The sequence below is a fragment of the Homo sapiens genome, chromosome 8 (genome assembly GCF_000001405.40).
Source record: "Homo sapiens chromosome 8, GRCh38.p14 Primary Assembly".
NCBI lineage: Eukaryota > Metazoa > Chordata > Mammalia > Primates > Hominidae > Homo > Homo sapiens.
Window position 1 is genome coordinate 82,433,650 of NC_000008.11, and position 27,839 is coordinate 82,461,488.

At 36.6% G+C, this 27,839-nt stretch overlaps 2 long non-coding RNA genes across 2 annotated transcripts in view; one reads left to right on the forward strand and one right to left on the reverse strand.

The window, feature by feature from the left end:
- Positions 1-7,190: 7,190 nt before the first annotated feature.
- Positions 7,191-9,071, reverse strand: LOC124902064 (uncharacterized). The gene is made up of 2 exons (XR_007061178.1): positions 8,985-9,071; positions 7,191-7,395 (listed from the first exon to the last, which is right to left on the reverse strand). It is a non-coding gene; the product is annotated as an uncharacterized LOC124902064 (long non-coding RNA).
- A 2-nt stretch (positions 9,072-9,073) lies between these two features.
- LOC105375931 (uncharacterized) overlaps positions 9,074-27,839 on the forward strand; it is a 190,238-nt gene continuing 171,472 nt past the window's right edge. The window contains exon 1 of the long non-coding RNA XR_929115.3: positions 9,074-9,265. This is a non-coding gene — a long non-coding RNA (uncharacterized LOC105375931). The remainder of the gene's footprint in view (positions 9,266-27,839) is intronic.

Consider the following 27,839-nt stretch of genomic DNA (forward strand, 5'->3'; position numbering starts at 1 on the left):
TATTGCTCAAGGTTTGCCATGCTGAAGAGTAGCAGTTGAGATTCCAACTATCTTAATACATTCTCAGGTACTGTCAGGCCTTTCAATTAATGAAGGTCCAAGCCATTCCAACCACAACTTTTGGACAAACTGTTTTGCCAGAATGTAATTACAAGAGTGTATCAGAAAGTATTCACATGGGTTTGTCAGACAGTCCATTTGTGTGGTGTTTATTAAGAATATGGACTTACTCTTCCTGTAGAACTTCTAGGAATATTTCTAAATAATTCTGCCACTGATTATGTCGACACCATGTAATTTAAACATAATTTGGAAAAGCTGTTATATCTTCAGTGCCTTATAACTATTATATCTCCACTGCCTAACATAGTACCTTGAAAATATGAGGCAATGATTAAATATGTATTCCTTGAATATAATATTTATTATTTATATTATGTATTGAATTGTTAAATGATCACTTGGCCTAGAAATTATAAATTTGAAAGAAAAAGTTGAGATTGCTGGCCCAATATTCTTTATTTATGAAAGGGTATTTGTGACACAAGGAGTTAGTTAATTTAAATAAGTGTGGCTTATGTACTAGTTTTTTATCTTAGATTGCGGGTATTAAACATGGTATTTTTAAATCTTGATACTAATAATTAGAAAATACTTGCATTTCTTAATGTTCATATTAACAGAAAAAGTGAGAGAGGGACAATTAGTCAATATTCTAAACTATGAGACACATTAAAATATACTAAAATATAAGAATTATTAATTAATGTATTATTTTAATTAACCTCATATGAGATAAGATTGGTATTTTAAAATGCAGACTATTCACTGAAGTTTGTGCTACTGCAACGAGATAAATGTTTAAAAAATTAAACTTCAATCTTTCTCTTTTTTTGAGATGGAGTCTCACTCTGTTGCTGAGGCTGGAGTGCAGTAGCGTGATCTCGGCTCACTGCAACTTCTGCCTCCCAGTTCAAGCAATTCTCCTGCCTTGGCCTTCCAAGTAGCTGGGACTACAGGCGTGCGCCACCATGCCCGGCTAATTTTTGTATTTTTAGTAGAGACGGGGTTTCACCATATTGGCCAGGCTGGTCTCGAGCTCCTGAGCTCAAGTGATCTGCAGGCCTTGGCCTCCCGAAGTACTGGGATTACAGGCATGAGCCACTGTGCCCTGCCTAAATTGTAATCTTAATTCACACCCTACTGTTTAAGAAATTACAGATTGATTAATCTATAGAAATATATGACCCAAAATAAACTTAAAATATGTAATGGCAATCTCTTTAATATTGGATTGGAGAAGGCCTTCCAAAGGAAGCAGCAGAGACAAATTTCTAGGAAAATATTGGTATAAATAACTATATACATATCTAAAATAACATTATGCCAAAACAGGCATTGGCAACGTTAAAAAGCAAATGGTAAATAAAAAATCATTTGCATTATATGACATTTAACATTTTAATAGCTCATTGTTCACTTTTAAAATCTATAAACCAAAGTCAAATTCTCTAACATATATGCCACAGCATAAATATGATAAAACTCTAACACTGTCCTATTTTTTTCCCATAGCACTGCCATTATGTCTGCAGCACTTCCACTGCTGGATCTTTGAAATTTTGAAGAGCTTCTGGGTCATTCTCTATGAAGTAGTTTGGATATTCGTCCCCTCCAAATGTCATATTGAAATGTGACCTCCAATTTTGGAGGTGGACCTAGTGGGAGGCGTTTGGGTCATGCGTTGGATCCTTCATGAATGGCTTGGTGTCCTCCCTATGGTAAAGAGTGAGTTCTTGCTCTGTTAAGTTCATGTGAGAGCTGGCTGTTTAAAATTTAAAAATTAATTAAGTTTAAATTATATTGTTCTCTCTCCCTCCATGTGACATGCCAGCTCCCTCTCTGCCTTCTTCGATAAGTAAAAGCTTCTTGAAGCCTCACTAGAAGCCAAGCAGATGATGGTGCCATGCTTGTACAGCCTGCAGAACCATCAACTCAATCTCTTTTCTTTATAAATTATTCAGCCTCAGGTATTCCTTTATAGCAACACAAAACATACTAACGTGCTGTACAACCTTCCATTTTAGCTATACCCACACCCAATACTAAGTGTTGTATATGCCCCTACTATATGATCTAACCACTGCACTCGTAACACTAACCAAAATGAAAGCATATGTCTTTACAAACACCTGTGCAAATACATTCACAGAAGCTTTATTTGTAATACTTAAAAACTGGACACAACCCAAATGTCATCAAAAGGCTAATGATAAATTGTCATATATTCATGCAGTAGAATATTACTTAGCAATATAAAATAGAAAAAGATACATAGTAAAAAATAGATACATATCAAACTATGCAAGTCAAGGAAGCCAAACAAAAAATAGTACCTATGGCGGGGTGTGTTGGCTCATGCCTGTAATCCCAGCACTTCAGGAGGTCAAGGCAGGCAGACCACCTGAGGTCAGGAGTTCAAGACCAGCCTGATCAACATGGAGAATCCGTGTCTCTACTAAAAATACAAAAAATTGGCCAGCATGGTGGCACATCCCTGTAATCCCTGCTACCTGGGAGGCTGAGGAAGGAGAATCATTTGAACCCAGGAGGTGGAGAGGAGGTGGAGGTTGCCGTGAGCTGAGATCACACTATAGCACTCCAGCCTGGTCAACAAGAGTGAAATTCTCTCCAAAAAAACAAAAAAAAAAAAAACAAAACCCAACAACAACAAAAAAAAAAAAGAAAAAGAAAAAAGAAACAGAAACAAAAACAAACAAAAAATAATATCTATGTATGACTCTTTTATACAAAATACTGAAAATGCAAATTAGGTAAGTGTTTTGAGAAGGAGCAGGAGCTAGGGATTACAAAGGGACACGAGGAAACTTGTGAGTGACGTAAATGTTCATCACCTCGATTATGATTGTTTCATGGGTGTGTCCATATATCAAAGCTTATCAAATTATATAATTTAAATATGTGCAGTGCATTGTATGTTCATTAGATATCAATACAGAAAAAACTAAGCATTTGTAAAGAAAAAATTAGTGAACTACTGCAATATATGGAAACATAATGAAGTCTGAAAAATGTAGTCCCAAAACACCAAATACTTCATAAACAATATTGGTAAAGCTCAAAAACAAGCACATCTAAGTATAGTAAGTTATTGACAATGTTTTGTTCTTGATTTAAGTAGTGTGTCTACCGGTGTTTATTTATTTTTTACTTTAACACAGGTATGTTGCATACATTTTTGACATTTTGCATACATTCTCATGTCAAATATTCACATGAGAGTAAAGGAGAATAAAATAACCAAGTGAAATCAATAATATAGCACAGGTTGTAATAATTATTATTCAGCAATTAGTTGATTTTGGATATTAGTATAGTAAGAAGAGCCTCAAAGCATTAATGATGATAGTGATATAACATCATATCGAGACAAAACTTCTAAAGGGACGTATTATTTAAATAATATTTCAATATATATTTATGCCATCTTAATGGCTAGTCTATACTAAGATTTCCCAATATTAAATATATGACACTGTGAAGTATCAATATTGTTTTTGATTTACAGTAATTGAATTTGCTTACAGACAACTGTATAGCCTGTATATTTTTATTCTCAGGCTTTTCATGCTATCTCACTGAAGCATCTTGAATATAAGATATATGAAAGACATAATAAGAAGAGATAACTAAGAATCAACCATTAATAGTCTTTTCAAGAATTAATGGTGCAAAACAGTGAATAAATCTGTTCATATTAATTAAAAAATGCTACCATTATGGCAAAAATTTTCATTATTTTTAATGTAAATAGAGAATTACTCTAGTAAATTCTTTAAATTTAATTCCAATTTTAGATAAACAAAGAATGTTATTTGCATGGCATACAACAAGATAGAAACATCTGGTGTTTATGCATTTTCTGCTAAATCACAGATGACTAATTATTTTCCATGTGTCAGGGAAAAAATTGATTAATCACCCATTCTTGTTAGCCTAATGTTCTGCAACTTACATCTATTCTGTTAAGTCTTTAGCCTTCTCTGTACAATCTGTGACCAGCCTTAACTGCAAATGTGTTTATTTCTTTTTTTGTTTTGTTTTGTTTTGTTTTGTTTTGTTTTTTGAGAAGGAGCCTCGCCCTGTTGCCAAGCTGGAGTGCAATGGTGCGATCTTGGCTCACTGCAACCTCTGCCTCCAGGGTTCAAATGATTCTCCCGCCTCAGGCTCCCTGGTAGCTGGAATTACAGGCACCCGCCACCATGCCCAGCTAATTTTTGTACTTTTAGTAGAGACAGGGTTTCACCATGTTGACCAGGCTGTTCTTGAATTCCTGACATCGTGATCTGCCCGCCTTGGCCTCCCAAAGTGCTGGGATTACAGGCGTGAGCCACCGTGCCTGGCCTAATTTTTTTTTTTTAAATTTTACTTTAAGTTCTGGGATTCATGTGTAGAACGTGCAGATTTGTTACATAGGTATAAATGTATTTATTTCTATATTTAAAAAATTTCTTCAGATATCCTTGTACATTTTTGTTTCTAGATTAATTTGACAGAGTCTTGCTCTGTTGGCCAGGCTAGAGTACAGTGGCACAATCTCGGCTCACCGCAACCTCTGTCTCTCAGGCTCAAGCAATTCTCCTACCTCAGCCTCCCAAGTACCTGGGATTATAGGTGTGTGCCAACATGCCTGGCTAATTTTTGTATTTTTAGTAGAGATACGGTTTCACCATGGTGGCCAGGTTGGTCTTGAACTTCTGACCTCAGGTAATCTGCCTGCCTTGGCCTCCCAAAGTGCTGGGATTACAGGCATGAGCCACTGCGCCCAGCCTAGATTAATTTTAAAGTCATTGGACAAGCCCATGGAAATCCTTTGTGCTTTTCTTAAAATTTTTATTTCATTTTTATTTTTGTGGAAATTAGGTCTCACTGTGTTTCCCAGACTGGTCTCCATCTCCTCATCTCAAGCAATCCTCCTGCCTCGGCCTCCCAAAGTGCTAGGATTACAGATGTGACCCACCACACCTGGCCCCTTTTGTGCTTTTGATTGTGTGAACATGGATTAATTTGAAGAGATTGGATATCTGTATATTGTTAAGTCTCCCCATACTGAAAATATTTGCTAATTTATCTGTGGTTTTACATATATTTCAGTAAAGTTTTATAGTTGATTTATTATTATTTTTGTTGGTTTTAAATATTGATACATAATATTGATACATATTTATGGGGTACATGTAACATTTGTTTACCTGCATAGAATGTGCAATGTAATTATTGTCAGGATATTTGGGATAGCTATCACGTCGTGTATTTTTTATTTCTATGTGTTAGGAATATTCAAGTCCTCTCCATATATTTTAAAATATAAAATACATTGTTGTTAAATATGGTCACCCTATTCTACCATTGAACATTAGACCTTATTCCTTCTAACTATATGTTTGTACCCATTAACCAACCTCTCTCAACCCCTGCCACACACACCCTTTCCCACCTCTGGTAATTATCATTCTACATTCTACGTTTATGAGAGCAACTATTGTAGTTCTCACATAAGAGTAAAAAGGTGGGATTTTTTTCTTCCTGTGCCTGGGTTGTTTCACCTCACATAATGACCTCCAGTTCCATTCATGTTGCTGCATGTGACACAACTTCATTCTTTTATGACTGAATACTGTTCCATTGTGTATATAACCACATTTTCTTTATCCATTCGTTTCAATAGACAAATGGGACTGTCTTACACCAAAAAGCTTCTGCACAGCAAATCATTGTAGTCATCTTATTTTCTTTTTGTTTTATAAGTAATCAGACCACAAGAACCACACTCAGAGCTGATGGAGAAGACCCAGAGATCCTGAACTCTGAGCTGGATACAGTAATTGGATAGGACCTGGGCTGGACTTTCTTGTGGGGGTGTGCATATATACATATATCGGTATTTAGTATAGACTATGGCAGAGGTAGTTAGTTGTTTCTTTACATCATTCTCTATTTCTGCCATTATTAAAAGGATCCACACATTTTAGCTAGGCATATGTTATCTCCATCTTTGCTAAGTCTGCAATTTCAAATCTCCCTTGTATCTAGGTAAAGTATTATGACTTAAGTTCCGGGTAATAAGATATGAGAGAAAGGTACATGTATGACTCTCAATTATGCCTATAAGAAAAATTGTCCATATCTTCCACTCTTATCACCTTTCCATTAGCCAAAATATACAAGTGATATTGTGAACTATAGTACACATCTGAGACCATGATATATGAAAGCCAAACCTTGAGCATAACTTGGGAAAAGGACCTGGTTTTCAATACCACACAGCTGCCATTCCTGTCATTGACAGTTTATGCCAGGTAGTTACTTAAGAGGGGAAGAGTATCTATTTTACTTAAACATCTATTTCTCTTAAAACAACTGAATCTGTATGCTAACCAATTTTAATTTGTATCTATTGAATGTTATCATTTGCTACAATATTAAAACTGACTAAATATACATTAAACATTTACAAATATAGTTCTGTACATCACAGAATCACAAGAATTAAGCCAAGGTTTTTGTTCATTTGTTTAATTATAAGGTATATTCAATCACATTGCTCTCCTAAACATATTACCAATAATATTGATCCATAAGTAATAACACAGTGAGATTAAAATGTTTTATGCTATTAATACATGTTATTTTAAAATTAGAATATTTATGGCCAGGTACAGTGGGTCACACCTGTAATCCCAGCACTTTGGGAGGCAGAGGCAGGTGGATCACCTGAGGTCAGGAGTTCGAGACCAGCCTAGGCAACATGGCGAAACCCTGTCTCTGCTAAAAACACAAAAATTAGCTGGGTGTGGTGGCTCAAGCCTTTGATCCCAGCTATTCGGGAGTCTGAGGCAGGAGAATCACTTGAACCCGGGCAGGCAGAGATTGCAGTGAGCCGAGATCACACCACTGCACTCCAGCCTGGGCGACAAGAGCAAAACTCTGTCTTAAAAAAAAAAAAAATAATAATAATATTTGTTTTGTCCTCTTTAATTTCAGTTTTTGTGTATACTTTATACTATTCACATAATATATTAGTATGTATTACATAAACTATACTTAAGTCACAGATAAAGTAAAAGACATCTAACTTGTTTGGTAAACTTTTCAGACCATGCCAAAACTTAGATGTTAATATTTATTAGCTTGCACAAGACCAGCGAAGCTGGAGATAAGATAATTATTGAGTAAATCAGGAAAGAAACAGAGCAAATACTTAAAGGCATGCATTATTGAACTGGTCACAGCTAGGGAACAAGCTTATCTGGTGCTTGATCTCACGGGAAGTCTTCAGAGAGACAAAGGAAAACTGCATCTCCAGACAGTTGGCTAAAGGTGAGAAACAGATATCATTTATTTACCAGTTATCATATTCCTTTAAACAAAATTGTTCTACGGAACATCACGTGTGCTCTAATTCCAGATGGTGCTACCTGGCCCCTTCGAGACAGGTTGGCTCCCACCAAAAGAAACAGCACAAAGGGAGAGGGAAGGAGCTGAGACAGTCTGTTTGTGTGTGTGTGGCTGAGAGGTGACAGCGTGCTGGCAGGCCTCACAGCCCTAGCTCGCTCTTGGCGCCTCCTCCGCCTTGGCGCCCACTCTGGCCGCGCTTGAGGAGCCCTTCAGTCCGCCGCTGCACTGTGGGAGCCCCTTTCCGGGCAGGCCAAGGCCGGAGCCGGCTCCCTCAGCTTGCAGGGAGGTGTGGAGGGAGAGGCGCGGGCGGGAATCGGGGCTGCGCGCGGTCCTTGCGGGCCAGCTCCAGTTCCGGGTGGGCGTGGGCTTAGCGGGTCCGCACTCAGAGCCGCAGGCCGGCCAGCCGCCCCGGGTAGTGAGGGGCTAAGCACCTGGGCCAGCAGCTGCTGTGCTCCACTTCTCGCCCGGCCTTAGCTACCTCCCCGCTGGGCAGGGTTCGGGACCTGCATCCCGCCATGCCTGAGCCTCCCCCTCCGAGCCGTGGGCTCCTGCACGGTCCGAGCCTCCCCCACCAACGCCGCCCCCTGCTCCGTGGCGCCCAGTCCCATCGACCACCCAAGGGCTGAGGAGTGCGGGCGCACCGGCGCTGGACTGGCAGGCAGCTCCACCTGCAGCCCCGGTAAGGGATCCACTGGGTGAAGCCAACTGGGCTCCTGAGTCTGGTGGGGACTTGGAGAACCTTTATGTCTAGCTAAGGGATTGTAAATACACCAGTCGGGCACTCTTTATTTAGCTCAAGGTTTGTAAACACACCAATCAGCACCCTGTTGTCTAGCTCAGGGTTTGTGAATGCACCAATCCACACTCTGTATCTAGCTACTGTACTCTGGTGGGGACTTGGAGAACCTTTATGTCTAGCTAAGGGATTGTAAATACACCAATCGGCACTCTGTATCTAGCTCAAGGTTTGTAAACACACCAATCAGCATCCTGTGTCTAGCTCAGGGTTTGTGAATGCACCAATCGACACTCTGTATCTAGCTCCTCTGGTGGGGACTTGGAAAACCTTTGTGTCCACACTCTGTATCTAGCTAATCTAGTGGGGATGTGGAGAACTTTTGTGGCTAGGTCAAGGACTGGAAAGGCACCAATCAGCACCCTGTCAAAACGGACCAATCAGCTCTCTGTAAAACAGACTAATCGGATCTCTGTAAAATGGACCAATCAGCAGGATGTGGGTGGTGCCAGATAAGAGAATAAAAGCAGGCTGCCGGAACCCCCAGCAGCAACCTGCTTGCGTCGCTTCCTGCACTTTGGCGGCTTTGTTCTTTAGCTCTTTGCAATAAATCTTGCTGCTGCTCACTCTTTGGGTCCACACTGCCTTTATGAGCTGTAACACTCACCACGAAGGTCTGCAGCTTCACTTCTGAAGCCAGCGGGACCACGAACCCACTGGGAGGAACGAACAACTCTAGACGCACTGCCTGAAGAGCTGTAACACTCACCGTGAAGGTCCACAGCTTCACTCCTGAGCCAGTGAGACCATGAACCCACCAGAGGGAAGAAACTCGGAACACATCTGAACAGCAGAAGGAACAAACTCCGGACACGCCGCCTTTAAGAACTATAACACTCACGGCGAGGGTGCGCGGTTTCATTCTTGAAGTCAGTGAGACCAAGAACCCACCAATTCTGGACACATGGCCACTGAGCACTCCCTGCTCGGGGCTGCACCTCAGCAACAACAGAGGCTATGATACCGGGCTGGAGGGCGCTGAAACGTTAGGTAAGTTGCTGCCCAGTCATGAATATGAGTGACGTCATAGACCTGGGAAGCCGTTTAGATAATTAAGGATGATTTACTTTACACCATGAAGTTGTCAACAAAGCTTTTTGGAGTCTTTCCCCCAAGAAGATCTTGAGGCTTGCAGAAAAAGCTTTAGCAACAAGCAGTCTTCCTGGAGTGTCCACAGTAACATTAAGCAGAACCCATCCCAAGAGGCAAAGTACTAGATTCAAAAATGGGCCCGCCACGGTGGCTTACGCCTATAATCCCAGCGCTTAGGGAGGCCGAGGCGGGCGGATCACGAGGTCCAGAGATCGAGAGCATCCTGGCCAACATGGTGAAACCCCGTCTGTACTAAAAATACAAAAATTAGCTGGGCGTGGTGGCGTGTGCCTGTAGCCCCAGGCTACTCGGGAGGCTGAGGCAGGAGAATCGCTTGAACCCGGGAGACAGAGGTTGCATTGAGCCGGGTTCGTGCCACTGCACTCCAACTTGGCGACAGAGCGAGACTCTGTCTCAAAAAACAAACAAAAAAGTGGCCTGGAGACCAGTTTAGTAGATACGGAAATTAAGAAGCTGTAAGTCCCCCCACGAAAAACAAATACTAGAAGCTTCTTTTTAAGTACTTTAGCATTTTATAAATAATTAAAGTTAAGGGTATTTTTTAAGCTTAAGCATCTGAAAATGATCTATAGCCACTGGAAGAGCATGATACTTGGGGGAGTGGAATGAGTCACTGAGTCTGAGAAGCCCTGAGCACCCAGGGGAGCCCTCTTGTGGCTACTTGTGGAGTGCGCAAGGCACTGGTGACATTTAAGAAGGGTAAAACTAATTATAATATTCAGTAAATACGTAGTAAACCTAACTAGATGGCATCTCAATATATCGAATATATTTATTTACATGTACTCTGCTCCACTCTGCGTTCATAATCACCAGAAAACCCTATTAACTTATAGGGAGCAATCCTACCTGCTCCTAATACATTTGCTGCTGTAATTGTTTTTTCCCTGAAAAAGCTGTAAACAGCAGATAGATAAATTTATAGGCCATAATTTTGGATAAGTTATATGAGTATTGACCAGTTCGACAAAAGGTACCTGTCAGTTTAGTAGAATAAAATCATGCAGAGAAATTGCTTAGTTAAATTTACAACCTCCACAGGTTAAAGAGAATTAAGCCTGAAACTTTTGATATGCAAGTTAAATTCAGGCTCATTTGTTTGGTTATTTTAAAGCATAATTTTTTTTTGCAAATAGAAGAAAATCCCTTTAAAATAACCACTTGATAATATCCCAGTGGAATTCATGTTCATGATAGTATATATTAATAGTGAATAAACCCATTATCTACTTTTACACATTTTCACATTCTGAGACTACAGCACTGTGATTAAGCTGTTAAAAGAAAAACTTCAGCCGAACTAAATTTAAAGGAGTTTAGTTGAGCAATGAACGATTCACGATTCGGGCAGCTTTCTGAATCACAGCAGATTCAAAGAGATTCCAGCATGGTGGAAGAAGATTTATAGACAAAAAAAGGGAAATGACGTGCAGGAATTGGAAGTGAAGTACAGAAACACCTGGATTGGTTACAGTTTGACATTTACCTTATTAGAACACTGTTTGGTTGGCTACATTTAATTGGCTAAAACTCAGTGATTGATACAAGCGTGGGCCACAGTCGGTTTATACTTCCCCTTGTTATAGTTCACAATGTACAGAAAAACCTTTAGGCTGAATTTAAACATGTAAGGAAGCAGCTTTAGGCTGAACTTGATTAACAAAACAAATTCATGGCCTGGTAATTTTTGTCTATATTTATAAGAAAGCTTATAGCACTGTAAACTAGCATGGCTCTATTTTGGAAACATGAGAATAAAACATCATCAAACTAGTTCTCCTAAGATATTGTATAATATGGTTATATAGCTGTTGAATCACTCTGTGGTGCTAGAATAAAAAAGGCCTGTGATGTTTAATGCTTTTGGTTAAAATCCCATTTTTTATGGTTCAAGAAATGTATTTTGACCCATGCGCTCCGTGTACTGATTTATCCACTTTGCATCTAGTGAACCTAAAGCAGTTTTAAAGAGTTCTGAAGATGCCAGTGAACATCTGAAAGTATTCTATGATACCTATACTTAAAAAAAGATTTCCCATTACGAAATAGTTTAAATTGCCCAAACTATAAAAGAATTATTTTTCTAACAAGTGAACTTGTGTGCTGTTCCTTGTGCCCTTCCTGTATTCTGTAGACTGTTTCAATAATACAAGATCAATTCTGCCACTGCCCAGACAATTAACTCTTTGGCTACAGTTCACCTGCTAACTTGATATCCTATCCTCTTATTAGGTGTTGGGACTTGAATTTCACCTACCCTAGATAGGTCTTTGAACTCAGTGTGGTGTTGTTATATGAACTAGATTGTATCTGGTTTAAAATTGCTCAGTGACACACACAGAGGGAGAAAGGCAAAGGGTTCTTCAGCAGGAAGTCCATGTTCACTGTAGAAGTACTTCATCACTTTTTGAAGCCATTCTTTGTGTTTGAAGAAAAGTCATTTATATTGCTTAGTCAGAGAAAAATCTCCTCCAAAAATGTTACATTTAATATATTAATCAAAATATGTTAATAACAGGCTTAGGAATTTAAAGACTATTTTTACTCAAGAATACGAAGAAAGTAATGGTTTAAGGCTTTTCCACAATAGTCTGAGATTCTTAGTTTTCTAATATAATGCAAAGAGGTATGAAGAGGATAAAACAATGGTTTATTATCTGTTTCTCCAAACACATATATATTTATTTATTTATGTAAAATAAATAATGCATAATTATTCAAAAAGTTTCAAATAAATATTGACCCTTGAGCATCCCCCAAAACCCATTCTGTTATTTTTCTCAGAGATGGCAAGTTTCCTCAGAGAGAGAAACCTGCTTTCTAGTGGTAAGGACAATGGGAGTTCCAGCTGTGGTTAGACTCTAAGTTCTGAAATACAGCCATTGTTCTCATCTGCTGTAGAAGGCAAAGATGAAGAATACATAGTAGCTTAATGTATAGAATATGTAATAATTGCTTTTCTCTCCTTTTAACTTTGAATATTAAGTGGTAGCTTTGAAATAAGGGGTACTTATTTAAAGTAGTGGTGAATAAAATAAAAATAGGTTTAGAGGATGTAAGTTTTACGTTTAAAAATATATGTATTTTTTAAGTTTTATTTTATTTTTTAACTTTTATTTTAGGTTCAGGGGTACATGAGCAGATTTGTCATACTGGTAAATTGTGTGTCATGGGGGTTTGGTGTACAGATTATTTGTCACACAGGTAATAACCATAGTACCCAATAGGTTTTTTGATCCTCTCTTTCCTCCCATCTACCACCCTCAAGTAGGCCTCAAGTAGGCCTTGGTGTTTTCTTCTTTGTGTCTATGTGTATTCAATGCTTAGCTCCCACTTGTGAGAACATTTGGTATTTGATTTTTTGTTCCTGTGTTAGTTCATGTAGGATAATGGCCTCCAGCTCCATCCATGTTGCTGCAAAGGACAGGATCGCATTCCTTTTTATGGCTGTGTAGTATTCCATGGTGTATATGCACCATATTTCCTTTATCCAGTCCATCATTGATGAGCATTTGGTTGATTCCAAGTCATTGCTATTGTGAATAGTGCTATGATGAACATACATGTACATATTATTAATGGAAGAATGATTTATATTCCTTTGGGGATATACCCCAAGACAGTTGCTGGGTCAAATTGTAATTATATTTTGAGTTTTCTGAGAAATCACCACACTACTTTTCACGATGGCTAAACTAATTTACATTACCACCAGCAGTGTATATATAAGTGTTCCCTTTTCTCTGCAATCTCACCAGCATTTCTTATATTTTGGTATTTTAATAATATCCATTCTGACTGGTGTGAGATGGCATCTCACTGTGGTTTTGATATGCATTTCTCTAGTGATTTGTGATGTTGAGCATTTTTTCATATGCTTGTTGGCTACGTGTATGTCTTCTTTTGAAAAGTGTCTATGCATGTCCTTTGCCTACTTTTTAATTGGGTTGTTTGTTTATTGCTTGTTAATTTGCTTGAACTCATTATACAAATTAGATATTAGACTTCGTTGCATTCATAGTTTGCAAATATTTTATCCCATTCTGTGGATTGTCTGTTTACTCTGTTAATACTTTCTTTTGTTGTGCAGAAGCTCCTTAGTTTAATTAGGCCCCACTTGTCAATTTTTGTTTTTGTTGCAATTGCTTTTGGCATCTTCCTCATGAAGTATTTTGCCAGGCCCTCTGTCCAGAATAACCTAGGCATTTCCTAGGTTATCTTCCAGGGTTTTTATAATTTTTGGTTTTACATTTAAGTCATTAATCCATGTTGAGTTTATATATATATATATATATATATATATATATATATATATATATATATGTATATTGTAAGGAAGGGGTTGGTCCAGTATCAGTCTTCTGCATATGGCTAGCCAGTTGTCCCAGAACAATTTATTGAATATGGAGTCATTTTCCCATTGCTTTTTGTTGCTGTTGATTTTGTTGAAGATCAGATTATTGCAGGTGTGTGGCATTAGTTCTGGGCTCTCTATTCTGTTCCAATGGTAAATGTGTCTGTTTTTGTATCAATACCATGCTGTTTGGCTACTGTAGCCTTGCAGTATAATTTGAAGATGGGGACTGGGTGCCTTGACTCAAGCCTGTAATCCCAGCACTTCGAGAGGCCAGGGCACATGGATCACTGGAGACCAGCCTGGACAACATGATGGAACCCCTTCTCTACTAAAAATACAAAAATTAGTTGAGTGTGATGGTGTATGCCTGTAATCCTAGCTACTCTGGAGGCTGAAGCATGAGAATTGCTTGCACCCGGGAGGCCGAGGTTGCAGTGAGCCTAGATCTCACTACTGCACTCCAGCCTGGGGCACAGGAAAAAAAAAAAAGGGTTGAGGGGGAGGTAATGTGAAGCCTCCAGCTTTGTTCTTTCTTGCTTAGGTTTGCCCTGGCTATTTGAGCTCTTTTTCAGTTCCATGTGAATTTTAAAAACAGTTTTTCTAGTTCTGTGAAGAATGTCATTGTTAGTTTGATAGGAATAGCATTGAATCTGCATATTGCTTTGGGCAGTATGGCCATTTTAACAATATTAATTCTTGCTATCCATGAGCATGGAATGTTTATCCATTTGTTTGTGTCATCTATGATTTCTTTGAGCAATATTTTGTAATTCTCTTTGCAGAGATCTTTCACCTTCCTGGTTAGCTGTTTTCTAGGTATTTTATTTATTTTGGGGCAATTGTGATTGTGATTGCATGCCTGATTTGGCTATCAACTTGAATGTTGTTGGTGTATAGGAATACTACTGATTTTTGCACATTGATTTTGTATCCTGAAATTTTGCTGAAGTTGTTTATCAGAACTAGGAGTATTTGGGCAGATACTATGGGATTTCTAGGCAGACAATCATGTATGTCGTCTACAAACAGGGGTAGCTTTACTTCCTCTGTTCCTATTTGGATGCCCTTTATTTCTTTCTCTTGTCTGATTGTTCTGGCTAGGACTTCCAGTAGTATGTTGAATAGGAGTGGTGAGAGTAGACATCCTTTTCTTGTTCCAGTTGTCAAGGGGAAGGCTTCCAGCTTTTGCCCATTCGGTATGATGTTGGCTGTGGGTTTTTCATAGATATCCCTTATTATTTTAAGGTATGTTTCATCAATGCCTAATTTTTAAGGGTTTTTTTTATCATGAAGGGATGTTGAATTTTATTTAAATTTTTTCTGCATCTATTGACATAATCATGTGGTTTCTGTTTTTGTGATGAATTTATGTGATGAATCAAAGTTACTGATTTGTGTATATTGAAGCAAACTTGCATCCTAGGGCTAACACTTACTTGATCGTAGTGGATAAGTTTTTTGATGTGCTGCTGAATTCAGTTTGCTAGTATTTTTTGATGATTTTTGTACTTAAGTTCATCAAGCAGATTGTCCTGAACTTTTCTTTTTTGTTGCTGTTTTTCTACCAGGTTTTGTTATAAGGATGATGCTGGCCTCATAAAACGAGTTAGGAAGAAGTCCTTCCTCCTCATTTTCTTTGGAATTATTTCAGTAGGAATAGTACCAGCTCTTCTTTATATATTTGGTAGAATTCCACTGTGAATCCCTGTAGTCCTGGGCTTATTATGGTCGGTAGGCTTTTTATTACTGATTTGATTTCATAACTCATTATTGGTCTGTTCAGGGATTCAATTTCTTCCTAGTTCAATCTTGGGAGGTTGTATACATCCAGGAATTTATCCATTTCTTCTAGATTTTCTTGTTCGTGTGCATAGATGTGTTAATAGCAGTCTCTGAGGGCTTTTAAAATTGTTATTTCTAAAGGGTTGGTGGTAATACTCATTTTGTCATTACTGGTTGTGTTTATTTGGATCTTTTCTCTCTTTATTTCTTTATTAGTCTAGCTAACAATCTATCAATCATATATATTATTTTAAATAACCATCTCCTGGATTTATTAATCTTTTGAATTTTTTTTTGCATCTCAATTTCCTTCAAGTCAGTTCTGATTTTAGTTATTTCTTGTCTTCTGCTAGCTTTGGGCTTGTTTTTCTCTTGTTTCTCTAGTTCCTCTAGGGGTGATGTCACGTTGTTAATTTGAGATATTTCTAACTTTTTAATATGGGTGTTTAGTATTGTAAACTTCCCTCTTAACACCGTTTTTGCTGTGTCCCAGAGATTCTGGTATGTTTTATCTTTGTTCTCATTAGTTTCAAATGATTCCTTGATTTCTGTCTTAATTTCATTGTTTACTCAAAAGTCATTCTGGAGCAGGTTAATTAATTTCCATGTAATTGTATGGTTTTGAGCAATTTTCTTAGTACTGATTCCTGTTTTTATTGTGATACGGTTTGAAAGTGTTATGATTTAGGTCTTTGAATTTGCTGAGGGTTGTTGTATGGTTGATTATATAGTCAATTTTAGAGTATATGCCATGTGACAATGAGAAGAATGTATATTCTGTTGTTTTGGTTGAGGAATTCTGTAAATGTGTATTTGGCCCATTTTGTGAAGTGCTGAGTTCAGGACTCGAATATATTTATCCATTTTCAGCCTTGTTGATCTGTCTAATACAGTTACTGAGGTGTTGAAGTCTCCCATTATTATTGCATGGGTGTCTAAGTCTCCACATAAGATCTCTAAGAACTTGTTTTATAAATCTGGATGCTCCTTTGTTGGAAGCATATATAATAAGGATAGTTAGATCTTCTTGTTGAATTATACCCTTTGCCAATATGTAATGCCTTTCTTTGTCTTTTCTGATTGTTGTTGGTTTAAAGTCTGTTTTGTCCTAATTTAGAATAGCAATTCCTGATTTCTTGTATTTTCTGTTTGCTTGGTAGATTTTTCTTTATCCCTTTACTTTGAGCCTATGAGTGTCATTGCATGTGAGATGGGTCTCTTAAAGATAGCATACAGTTGGGTCTTGCTTCTTTATCCATTTTGCCACTCTGTGTCTTTTAAATGGGGCATTTAGCTAGTTTATATTCAATGTTAATATCGATATGTATGGATTTGATCCTGTCATCATTTTGTTAGCTGGTTATTTTGCAGACTTGATTGTGTGGTTGCTTAATATTGTCAATTTTCTATGTACTTAAGAATGTTTTGTGGTGGCTGGTAATGGTCTTGTCTTTTCATATCTAGCACTCCTTTAAGGACCTCTTGTAAGGCAGGTCTGTTGCTAATAAATCCCATAGCATTTGCTTATCTGAGAAGGGTCTTATTTATTAGTTTATGAAGGTTAGTTTGGCTTGATATTAAATGCTTTATTGGAATTTCTTTTGTTTAAGAATGGTGAATAAAGGCTCCCAATCTCTTCTGGCTTGTAGGGCTTCTGCTGAAAGATCCACTGTTAGCTTGGTACCGTTCTCTTTTTAGGTGACCTGCCCCTTTACTCTAGCTGTCTTTAACATATTTTATTCCTTTTCAACTTCAGAGAACCTGATGATGATATGTCTTTGGGGATGGTTGTCTTGTGTAGTATTTTTCAGGGGTTTGTTGCATTTTCTGAATTTGAATGTTAGTCTCTCTAGTAAGGCTGGGGACATATTTATCAATGAGATATCCTTAAATATGTTTTCCAAATTGCTTGCTTTCTCTCCCTCTCTTTCAGGGATGACAATAAGTCATAGATTTGGTCTTTTTACATAATTCTATATTTTTGGAGGTTTTAGTCATTCTTCTTTATTGTTTTTTTCTTTATTTTTGTCTGACTGAGTTACTTCAGAGAACCTATATTCAAACTGATTTTCTCTCCTTAGCTTGGTTGATTCTGCTGTTACTACTTGAGATTATATTATGAAATTCTTCAAGTGAGTTTTTCCGCTATATCAGATTAGTTTGGTTCTTTCTTTAAATGGCCAGCTTTCTTTTATCTCTTGTATCATTTTATTGTATTCCTGAGATTCCTTGGATTGGGTTTTAACTTTCTCCTGGATGTCAGTTATCTTTGTTCCTATATATATTCTGAATTATATTTCTGTCATTTCAGACATTTCAGCCTGGTTAAGAATGATTGCTGGGGAACTAGTGTGATTGTTTTTAGGTAAGAAGACACTCAGGCTTTTTGAGTTGCCAGAGCTTTTGCTCTGGTTCTTTCTCATCTGTGTGGGCTGATGTTCCTTCACTCTGAAGTTATTGTCCTTTTGGTGGCTTTTTTTCTTTTTTCTTTTATCTTCTATAATGCCCTTGGGGGTTTAATTTTGGTATTTCTGTAAGATATTAGGGGGCCAAGGCTCAGCTCAGCACTCTCGGTTTGCATGCTCTAACTCCGGGCTGTTACCAGGACCATGACTTTGTTCTCTGGTATTTCAAAGTTAGAAATCTGCTGCACTGGAGGGGCTGAGGTGTTCCAGTTCTGCTGGCCCCAACACTCTGATATTATAGATTGTGCCACCCAAGGACTTTGTTGGGGCAGTGCCAGTGGGATCCGTGCTTGATTGTATGTGCTAGGAGCCCTGACGGCATGGTGGGGTGCATGGTATTGACTGGGGCAGGTTACTGGCGGAAATGGGACTGAGGTGTTCCTGCGTGAATTTGCTCTGGCAACAGGGTGCAGGCTAAGGTGGGGTTGCTGATGTCCATGCTTACACCTGTGCCATCAGCACTGGGCACAGGGCACTGGTGGGGGTAGTGCTGCCTGCGTCAGGGTGTGATTTTGAACCATCAGCGGTGGCAGCACAGGAGTGTACTGGGTCGCAGACAGTTGTGTGCACATTTGCACTGGCAATGGGCGACACGGCTGAGTGCCTGCACATTAGCAAGGGAGGAGAGGACAGTGGGTTGCGCTCACGCTGAGAACAGCAGTGGGTTGCTCCTGCACATGAGTGCCAGCAGAGGAGGGGAGCTGGGGTCTTCTCGTATAGGCAGCAGCAAAGAGGTGGGAGGGTAGCCATGGGTATGTGCCAACGAAGTAGCGCAGGGAAGACTATGGTGGGAAGAAGGTGCAAGTGGACTAATGCTCATGGGCAGGGGCCCCTCTGCTGGAGCTCTCAGGCAGGAGCAGTCTGCCAGCGAAGGAGCTATGATGAGGGCCCGAGGAAGCACCCTGTTTAGGCAAGCACCAGGTCCAGCAGCTGGGGCCCCGGGAGACAGGGTGGCACTCAGATTGGACTGGCTTCATCTCACAGGCAAGACAGCCCTGCTCTGTACAGATCCAACAGTCACCCTATGGCCAAAGTCTCCTAGAGGAGCATGGCATGCATGCCTCATTATTTCAAACTCACTATTCTCCCTGTCATACCTGTAGGCCAATTCTATTTCTAGCAAGTAATGGGAAATATTGAGCAGGTAAATATTCCAAAAATAATAGGTTTGATATCCTTATTCCATGATGATTTATACTTTTTCAGCCACATGTTGTTTTAATTTTACAATTTATTAAGTGCCTACTGTGCAACACATGTGTTCAGTACTGAGCCAAGCAAAGATAATTAAGTCAGGTATTCTCCATAAGGAACCTTCCACTGTAGAAGAGAGGTACATGTGCTGCTTTTGAATAGCTGTAGCTACAAGTACACCATGAACCATGATGAATAACTTAGGATGTGAATTGTAACTTTAATATCTCAGTACTTTTCCACCAATGCTTATTTTTTTTCAGGAAAATTTAAGCATTTGTTTTCCAGTCCAGAAGTCTACAATGTGTGATGTAAAATATACACAGTAACAAGGATTTTGAAAATATGAAGAGGTGCTTTTTTTTTTTTTTTTTTTTTTGTGAGACGGAGTCTTGCTCTGTCACCCAGGCTGGAGTGCAGTGGTACAATCTCAGGTCACTGCAACCTCCGCCTTCCCGGTTCAAGCAATTCTCCTGCCTCAGGACCCACTAGTAGCTGAGACTACAGGCGCACATCATCATGCCCAGCTGATTTTTGTATTTTTAGTAGACACGGGGTTTCAACATGTTGGCCAGGCTGGTTTGTTTTTTTTTAACTTTACTAAACATCTATCTTTCTCAAGTTATATAATAGTCAATTCTCCTATATAAGCAAGAAGCTTGATAACTATGATGTTTTTAATTCATTTTTCAAACACTAACTCCACATTATGATTTTTTAATTCTTTCTCTGTATCTGATACTTCTATTATTTATTAGATCTCAGCCAACTTATCCTTAGTTCCTTTAAAATAGAATATCATTACTTATGCAATTGTCAATAACACAGTTTTGTATCCTACTTTATATAGTCTTAAAATAATTCTCTCAGGAGATTTCTCAAACATTCATTTTATCATTTCTTCAAATATGACTTTAAGCCTGCAATTTTTACCCTGAAATTGGATTTCAAATTCTAATTAAACCGAGGTAAACTTATGTGACCTTAAAAACTACAATACAAAAGGAAACAACATTTCCTTCTTTTTATTTCATGTTAGAATCAATATTTAGCATGTTCGAATCTCTACTTGTCTAATAGATTATCATTGTTTCTATATGCAATTCAACTGGAAATATGCAATGATTTTATTAGTTAATATGCTATCAGGTTATAGTATATCTTTTTAACTCAGCGAATACAGTTCTATATAATATAAAGACATTGTAGCTATAAATGTAAATGTTTAATTAGATACATCTGCATTTAAAGAGAGAAAATGTATAGTCATTGTGAGGTTTGAAATGCATTTCATTATTTTGTTTTTATACAAATTTGTAGAGTTCTCCTAAAAGGAAGGCTGGGTATTTATCTTTTTGATGTATTTATTCCTGGAGCTCTTTTTATGGATAATTAAAATAGTAAATTTCAAAGACTTCTATTTAGTGTTTTTATTAGTCAGAGTCCCAGCTGGAAACAGACTGCCGTTAAAATTAGGATAATTGATGGAAGGCTTAATAAAAGAACTAAATATAAAGTAAATAAGATATAGAGGAACTACATGAGACGTCCTGGGATTCTCAGACTGGTAGGAATCATGTCATTTTCAGCCCTAGTCCCTTTGTTATGAATTTAGGAAGAGAACATTTTTGGAACCTCAAAAGTAAATTTCCTGTTGAAAGAGTTTCCTTAAAAAGAGCAGGTTCATTTGGTTGAGGGACATAGAAAACTTCAAAGTAAGGAAGCAAGGGGATAAATATTCAAATTTCTTCTTTCACAGATCTTTTCAAGCATCTCCCTGTTAACTAAATCCAGCCAGGACCCTGAGTACCTGGGTGTCCTTTAATGTGGTTTATACAATCTAAGCTCAGAGATCCAAGTGAAGGATGGCTCTCGAGAGGCCAATAGAAGATATCAGACATGATAAATGTCAGAAAACAGTCAAACTCTTGGGTCAAATACACAATTCACAGATGTTCTATAGTCCATCAGCATATTTCAAGGAAATTAAAGATTATGTTAGTAGGACACCAGCCTAATTACATACCAGTTGGTATACAGCAGTGGATAAACAGAACAAAATTGAAGTAATATTAATTTACTCTCCTATGAAATTCATAAGCAGTGTCCCAAAAGAACTCAGGCCAGAAGAGAGGTGAGAATCATTTGAAAATTTTGTAAGTCAAATGAAAACCCACAGATACATGAGACAAAAGATTATTGTATGTTTTGACTGCTTAAAGCCCATGAGCAAGAGCTGGAAAAAATTTCTGTGGGAAATTAAAACATTCAAAACCATCTCTCTAAATGGGGAAATTTGGAAGCCCACAAGCATGCTCACAGCAAGAGGCATTCTCAGTAAAGACCTTGGAGGATCCTAAGCTTTCACATCAGGCCGATCCCTAACCTCAGTGTTGAATGAGTGCCCAAGACAGAGAATCTGCAAAGACTGAATAAAGGTTTTTGTTTGTTTGTTTTATTATTTTTAGTACCCAGTGTTTGAAGAAATCTCTGTCAAAGCACTGGAAGTTAAGTAACAGAGACTTTACTGTCCACACATGATAAGAAATGTCCACACATGACCAGAAGTTAAGTAACAGAGACTTTAATGTCCACACATAATAAGAAATACAGTCTTCAGAAAAAAATAATTTTGGAAACTCCCAAAATAAACGGATGAATACAGCTTTCAATAATCAAAAGCAACACAAGAGATATAAATCAAAAATCCCTAAGCCAGAAATCCCAGAGAAGTGGAAAAACCTTATTTCCAATATTTGGGCATTATAATCTTCAAATACTCAGATGTAAACAAAAATAAAAATCACAAGGGATGAAAAGAAAGAGGAAAGCATGGCCCATTAAAAGAAAAAATAATAAATTGATAGAAAGCATTCCTAAGAAAATACTGACATGGGACTTACTAGACAAATATTTTAAAGCAGTTGTCTTATATATTCTCAAAGAGCTCAAAGAAACCATAGACAAAACATAGAAACAAATCAGAAAAAAATGGTGCATGAGCAAAATGAGAGAGTTGATAAGAAATAGATTACAAAAAGAAATGAAGCAGTAGTACTGGAGCTGCAATAAAAGAAATGAAAAGAAAAATTTACTAGAAAGCTTGTACAGTGAATTTAAGCAGGCAGAAAAAAACATAGCAAACATTAAAAGAGGAGAATTGAAATGATTAATTCTGAGGAACAGAAAAAAATGAAATAATGAAAAAAGTGAACAGAGCTTAAGAGATCTGAGGCACACAATAAAAAGAACAATATACACAGTATGGGTGTTCCAGAATGAGAAGAAAAAATGGACAGACATGATATTTGAAAAAATAATGGCCAAAAGCCTCCCAAATTTAGTAAGATATATGGATTTATGAATCCAAGAATCTCAACAAACTCCAAGTTAAATAAACTCAGAGATCTGCACCAATACACATTATAATTAATCTATAATCAAACTAGAAAGATAAAGGAAGAATTATAAAAACAAAAGAGAAACATCTTGTCATATACAAGGGATCTTCAATAAGATTCACAGCCAGTTTCTCATCAGATTATGGTGGCTGAATGACACTGGCGTAATATATGTAAATTACCAGAAAAACAAACAGTTAATCAATAATCCTCTATCTGGCAAAACTGTCCTTCAAATATGAATTAGAAATCAAGACATTTCCAGATAGATAAAAGCTTGAGGGAATTCATTACCACTATATCTGCCCTACATAATATGCCATGAGCAGTTCTTCAGGTCGAAATGATAGGATATGAGACAGTAACTCAAAGCCATATGAATGTCACTGGTAAACGTAAATACATGGACAAATACAAACACCAGTATTATACATATTTTGGTTTGTAACTTTATTTTTTTATTTCATACAGGATTTAAAAGACAAAGGTGTAAAAATAATTATAAATCTATAAGAGCTATAAAATATATAAAGATGTATTTGTAACAACAAAAACATAAAGGGGGGGGTTGAGCAGTATGAGAAGAAAGTTTTTGTATGATACTGAATTTTGGTTGTCATCAATTTGAATTAGATTTTTATAAATGTATGATTTTAAATACAATGTCAACAAAAATCTAAAAATATACATAAAGGAAATAATAAATGAATAAAATGGTTTATTACAATAAATCATAAAAACACAAAAGACAGTAAAGGAGGAAATGAGGAATAAAAATGGTATATGACATACAAAAATTAAAAATGCTAGAATTAGGTCTTTTATTATCAGTAATTACTTTAAATGTAAGTATATTAAACTTTCCAAACAAAAGACAGAGATTTGCACAATAGAAAAAATAATAATTCAACACTATGCTGTCTACAAGATGCTTTTTATCAAAGACACAAATAGATTGGAAGTGAAAGGATGAAAAAAGACATTTAATGCAAATAACAATGAAAAAAGAGTGGGGTGGCAGAAAAAAATAGACTTTATATCAAAAACCATTACAAGAGACAAAAAAATTCTATAGATAACATGGTCATCAATTCATTAAACAGTATAATAATTATAAATATATACACAAAAACAATAGAACGTTAAAATATATGAAGCAAACATTTACAGAGTCAAAGGGAGAAATGGACAGTTCTATAATAAGAGTTTGAGACATTAATAAACCACTTGAATAATAGAACTTTTAGAGAGAGCATTGGTAGAAAATAGAGGACTTGAGTGGCACCATAAAGCAGCGCTGTAAAGCAATAACAGTCATATTTAGAGCACTTCATGTAACAACAGCTGAATGCACATTCCTCTCAAGTGCACATGGGACATTCTCTATAATGGACCACATTTTACTTCACAAAACATGTCTTAATAGATTTTAAAAGATAGATATAATGCAAAATATCTTCTCTGACCCAAATAGGATGAATTTAGAAATAAGTCACAGAAGAAAAACTGGAAAATTCTCAAATACCTGGAAATTAAACAACATAATCAATGGATCAAAGAAGAAATCACAAGATAAACTGGAAATTATATAGAAATAAATACAAATGAAAATATACCCAAATTTATGGGATGCAGCAAATACAGTCCTTAGAAATTTATAAGTGTACATTTTAAAAAAAGATTTCAAATGAATAATGTAACTTCCTGGCTTTTTTTATTGGAACTCTTCCAATTTTCTTTCTTTCTTTTTTTTTTTAGTTTTACTTTAAGTTCTGGGATACATGTGCAGAACGTGCAGGTTTGTTACACAGGTATACATGTGCCATGGTGATTTGCTGCACCCATCAACCCGTCATGTAGGTTTTAAGTCCTGCATGCATTTGGTATTTGTCCTAATGCTCTCCCTCCCTTTGTCCCCCACCCCACAACAGGCCCTCATGTGTGATGTTCCCCTCCTTGTGTCCATATGTTCTCATTGTTCAACTCCCACTTATTAGTGAGAACATGCGGTGTTTGTTTTTCTGTTCCTGTGTTAGTTTGTTAAGAATGATGGTTTCCAGCTTCATCCATGTTCCTACAAAGGACGTGAACTTATTCATTTTTATGGCTGCATAGTGTTCCATGGTGTATATGCCATATTTTCTTCATCCAGTCTGTCATTGATTGGAACTTTACTTCTTAAGGAACTAGAAAAAAACTAAACCCAAAGCTAGCAGAAAAAAAAATTACAAAGAGTATAGTGAGATAAATAAAATAGATAATAGAAAAATAATAGAGATAACCAATAAACCAAAAGTTAGTAGTACAAATCTCTTGTATTTATTGCATAATTTCTAACTAATCATTTTTAATAATTGGATCTTGCCTATTAATACAATATATGCTTCTTTTTTTTAAGAGAAGAAAAAATTGGAACACTGAGGCCTGCCACATAGTACATTTCTCAACACATAGGTTGTCATCAAATTAATCTTTAGATTATTACAAATAAAACTTTATAAATTCATCTACAGTAGGAGACTCCACTTACCAAAGACTGAATTCAAAATTACCTGTAAGATTGTTCTCAAATATTCCATATTGTGATTGATATGACATTTATGTTAAATTGTTGAAATGTTAAATACTATGCATTGAATAAATAAAGAGTGATTTTTCAAAAGTATAGAACAAATCAGGCTTTGGAATTAATTTCACTATTTTAGACTGTATAGAATATTACATAGAGAGCAGAGTAGTTTGATAGACAAATATACATCATTTTTGAGGGTGGATTTTTTGGTCAGAATTCTGTTTTCATCCTTAGAATTAAATGTCTACTCTGTACCATTAATTAATTTATTTATCTAAGTGCTGAGTAACAATGTTAAATTACAAGACATAGTTTCTTTTCTCCAGTATACAAAGGACTAAATGTAACAAGATGGAAAGTTGGTATTAAGGAGATTATGGGAAAACTAAGAAAGAGTGTTACTGGGGAAAGGGGCACAGATACAACATTTTACATAAATACACATCGAATGTCCCCTTATTTATTCCACTAAATATTGACCAGGTACCAGCAAGAAGTGACTCAAGGAGGAAAAAGGCAGATGATCTTTTTGCTCTTATGATACCAATAGTCTAGAAGAATCAAAATTCATGAGGAGATAATTATGTGAATAATTCGACCATCCCAATTGGAGCCAGAGATAAAAAGGCTAAGTAGGCTCTGAGAAAGTTTAGTGAGGTACATAGCCAAGTCTGAGAGGGAAGAGAAGACTCTTTTGGGAAAATGGTATTTAAGTTGGGAGCTAGAAAGGGATTGGAGGAAGTGAGGATCTAGGGGAAGATAACATTTAACAGACCAGAGTGCAGGAAAAACCTGTCCTGAAGAGAGGCAGTAACATCAGCTGGGAACTAGACTCTGTCAGGCCTTTTGAACAAGATCATGGACTTGGGCCTTTATCCTAACAAAAATAAAAAGCCATTGAGGGATTTTAAGACAGATCATCATGCTCAGACTTGAATTAAAAATATTACTGTATTTTTAGCAGGGGAAATATATCAGCCTGCAGGAAATTAGTTAATAAGCTATTTTGAGAAATACTGCTTTAATGGCAATTCCTTCAGAAAGCTGATTCTGGCACTGAAATCCATAGTAAGGAATCACAATCAGTGGTCCTTAACACTGGACATTGAAATTGGAAAGGAATGAATTTTGTGTCTGGCAAAAGTCACCATAAACATAGGCACCTGCTAAAGATAGACATGGGACAGTCATAAGGCATTGGGCAAATATCTGGGGAACCTGATTAATATATGAGGAACCTTACATGTTGACAAGAAAAAAAAGCAAAAAACAACCTATTAAATATATGGACAATATATAGTAAGTATATTTTTGCTAGCAAATGCATAGTAAATGGTGCTCTAATTAATAAGTAGCCAAGAAAATGCAAATTCTAAAACTCAATTGAATGCTAGAATATTATTATTTTTAAAGTAGATGGCAATGGTCAACTCTTACTACAAAATAAAAATTAGTAAGAATGTATAAAACCATGATTGGTGATATCTTAGATCTGTGTTACAAAATTGTCACAGTTCTGAAATTTAAGAGAAAATATTAGAAACCATAATCCGTATTCTCTGGAATAAGTCTGAGGAAGACACATAGTAAGGGTGAATTAGAGAATAAAGACAAAAACTTGCTAAAATAAACATTCCAAAAAGGTTCTGAATGTGTAATATTATTGGTTCACCAGGAAACATACTCTTGCTGGAAACTAGGATGCTACCCTATTAGTATATAATTTTGCTTATCAAATTAAACAGGGACTTTTTGATGGTAATTGATAAAGTAACATCAAAACTTATTCTAGTGGAGACCTCTATGATCCTACATTTTAATGAGACCACAGTGCAGAGGAAGAGGGCCACGTAAATCAACCCAATATAACAGAATTTAAGTAGTCTGAACTCCCATAAAAAAATAAGTACTAGTATCAATATTTTGAAGAAATATTTAAAAAGAAAAGATAGCATTTTGTTTGTTTTGTATTGTATTTTAAGAGTAGTGTAGTATTTTTATTCTTTTGTTCATGAAACATCAATATAAAAGTGCATTAATCTGAACCTTCAGAAAGCAGATCAAGAAATGTATATATATAACCTAATGAATTTCGTTCACCTGTCACATGGGTAAATCTATACAAGTTCCTTGACAGTATTATGTCAAGAGCTTTATAGTGTTGTGCAGCTTTGGTCTGATAAATGACTCAAAAAATGTAGTTACACTACAGTTGCTGTTATATCATCCTAAAACACTGTAAGATTAAATGCTCTGTTAAGTATACCCTGCCCATAGGGAATAATACTATTATTCCCTTCATTAAAACCCTACAGAGTTATGAAATGTTACATAACTGTGTCCCAAGAAAGCCTGAAAGCAAGGCAGTTGTTAATTGGTTATGCTTTCTTTTCCTGTAATACACAAATAAAAAAAAATCTTCTTCCATATTCATTGCAATTAGAGTAACTAAAAAATAGTTTCCTTGACCAATCCTACTGATTTCAAATATTACTTCATCATAGTGTGGTGACTTGGATATGTTTTCTTAATAAAATTAAATTTAAATGAACTATAATCGAAGTTTTTGTTGTGTATATAATTCATTATTTAATCTGTATTCAGAAATAGTAGAAATTTAGTTCATAATACACAAAATTAAAGATTTATAAAATAAATTTTATTTTATTTTTAATTACAA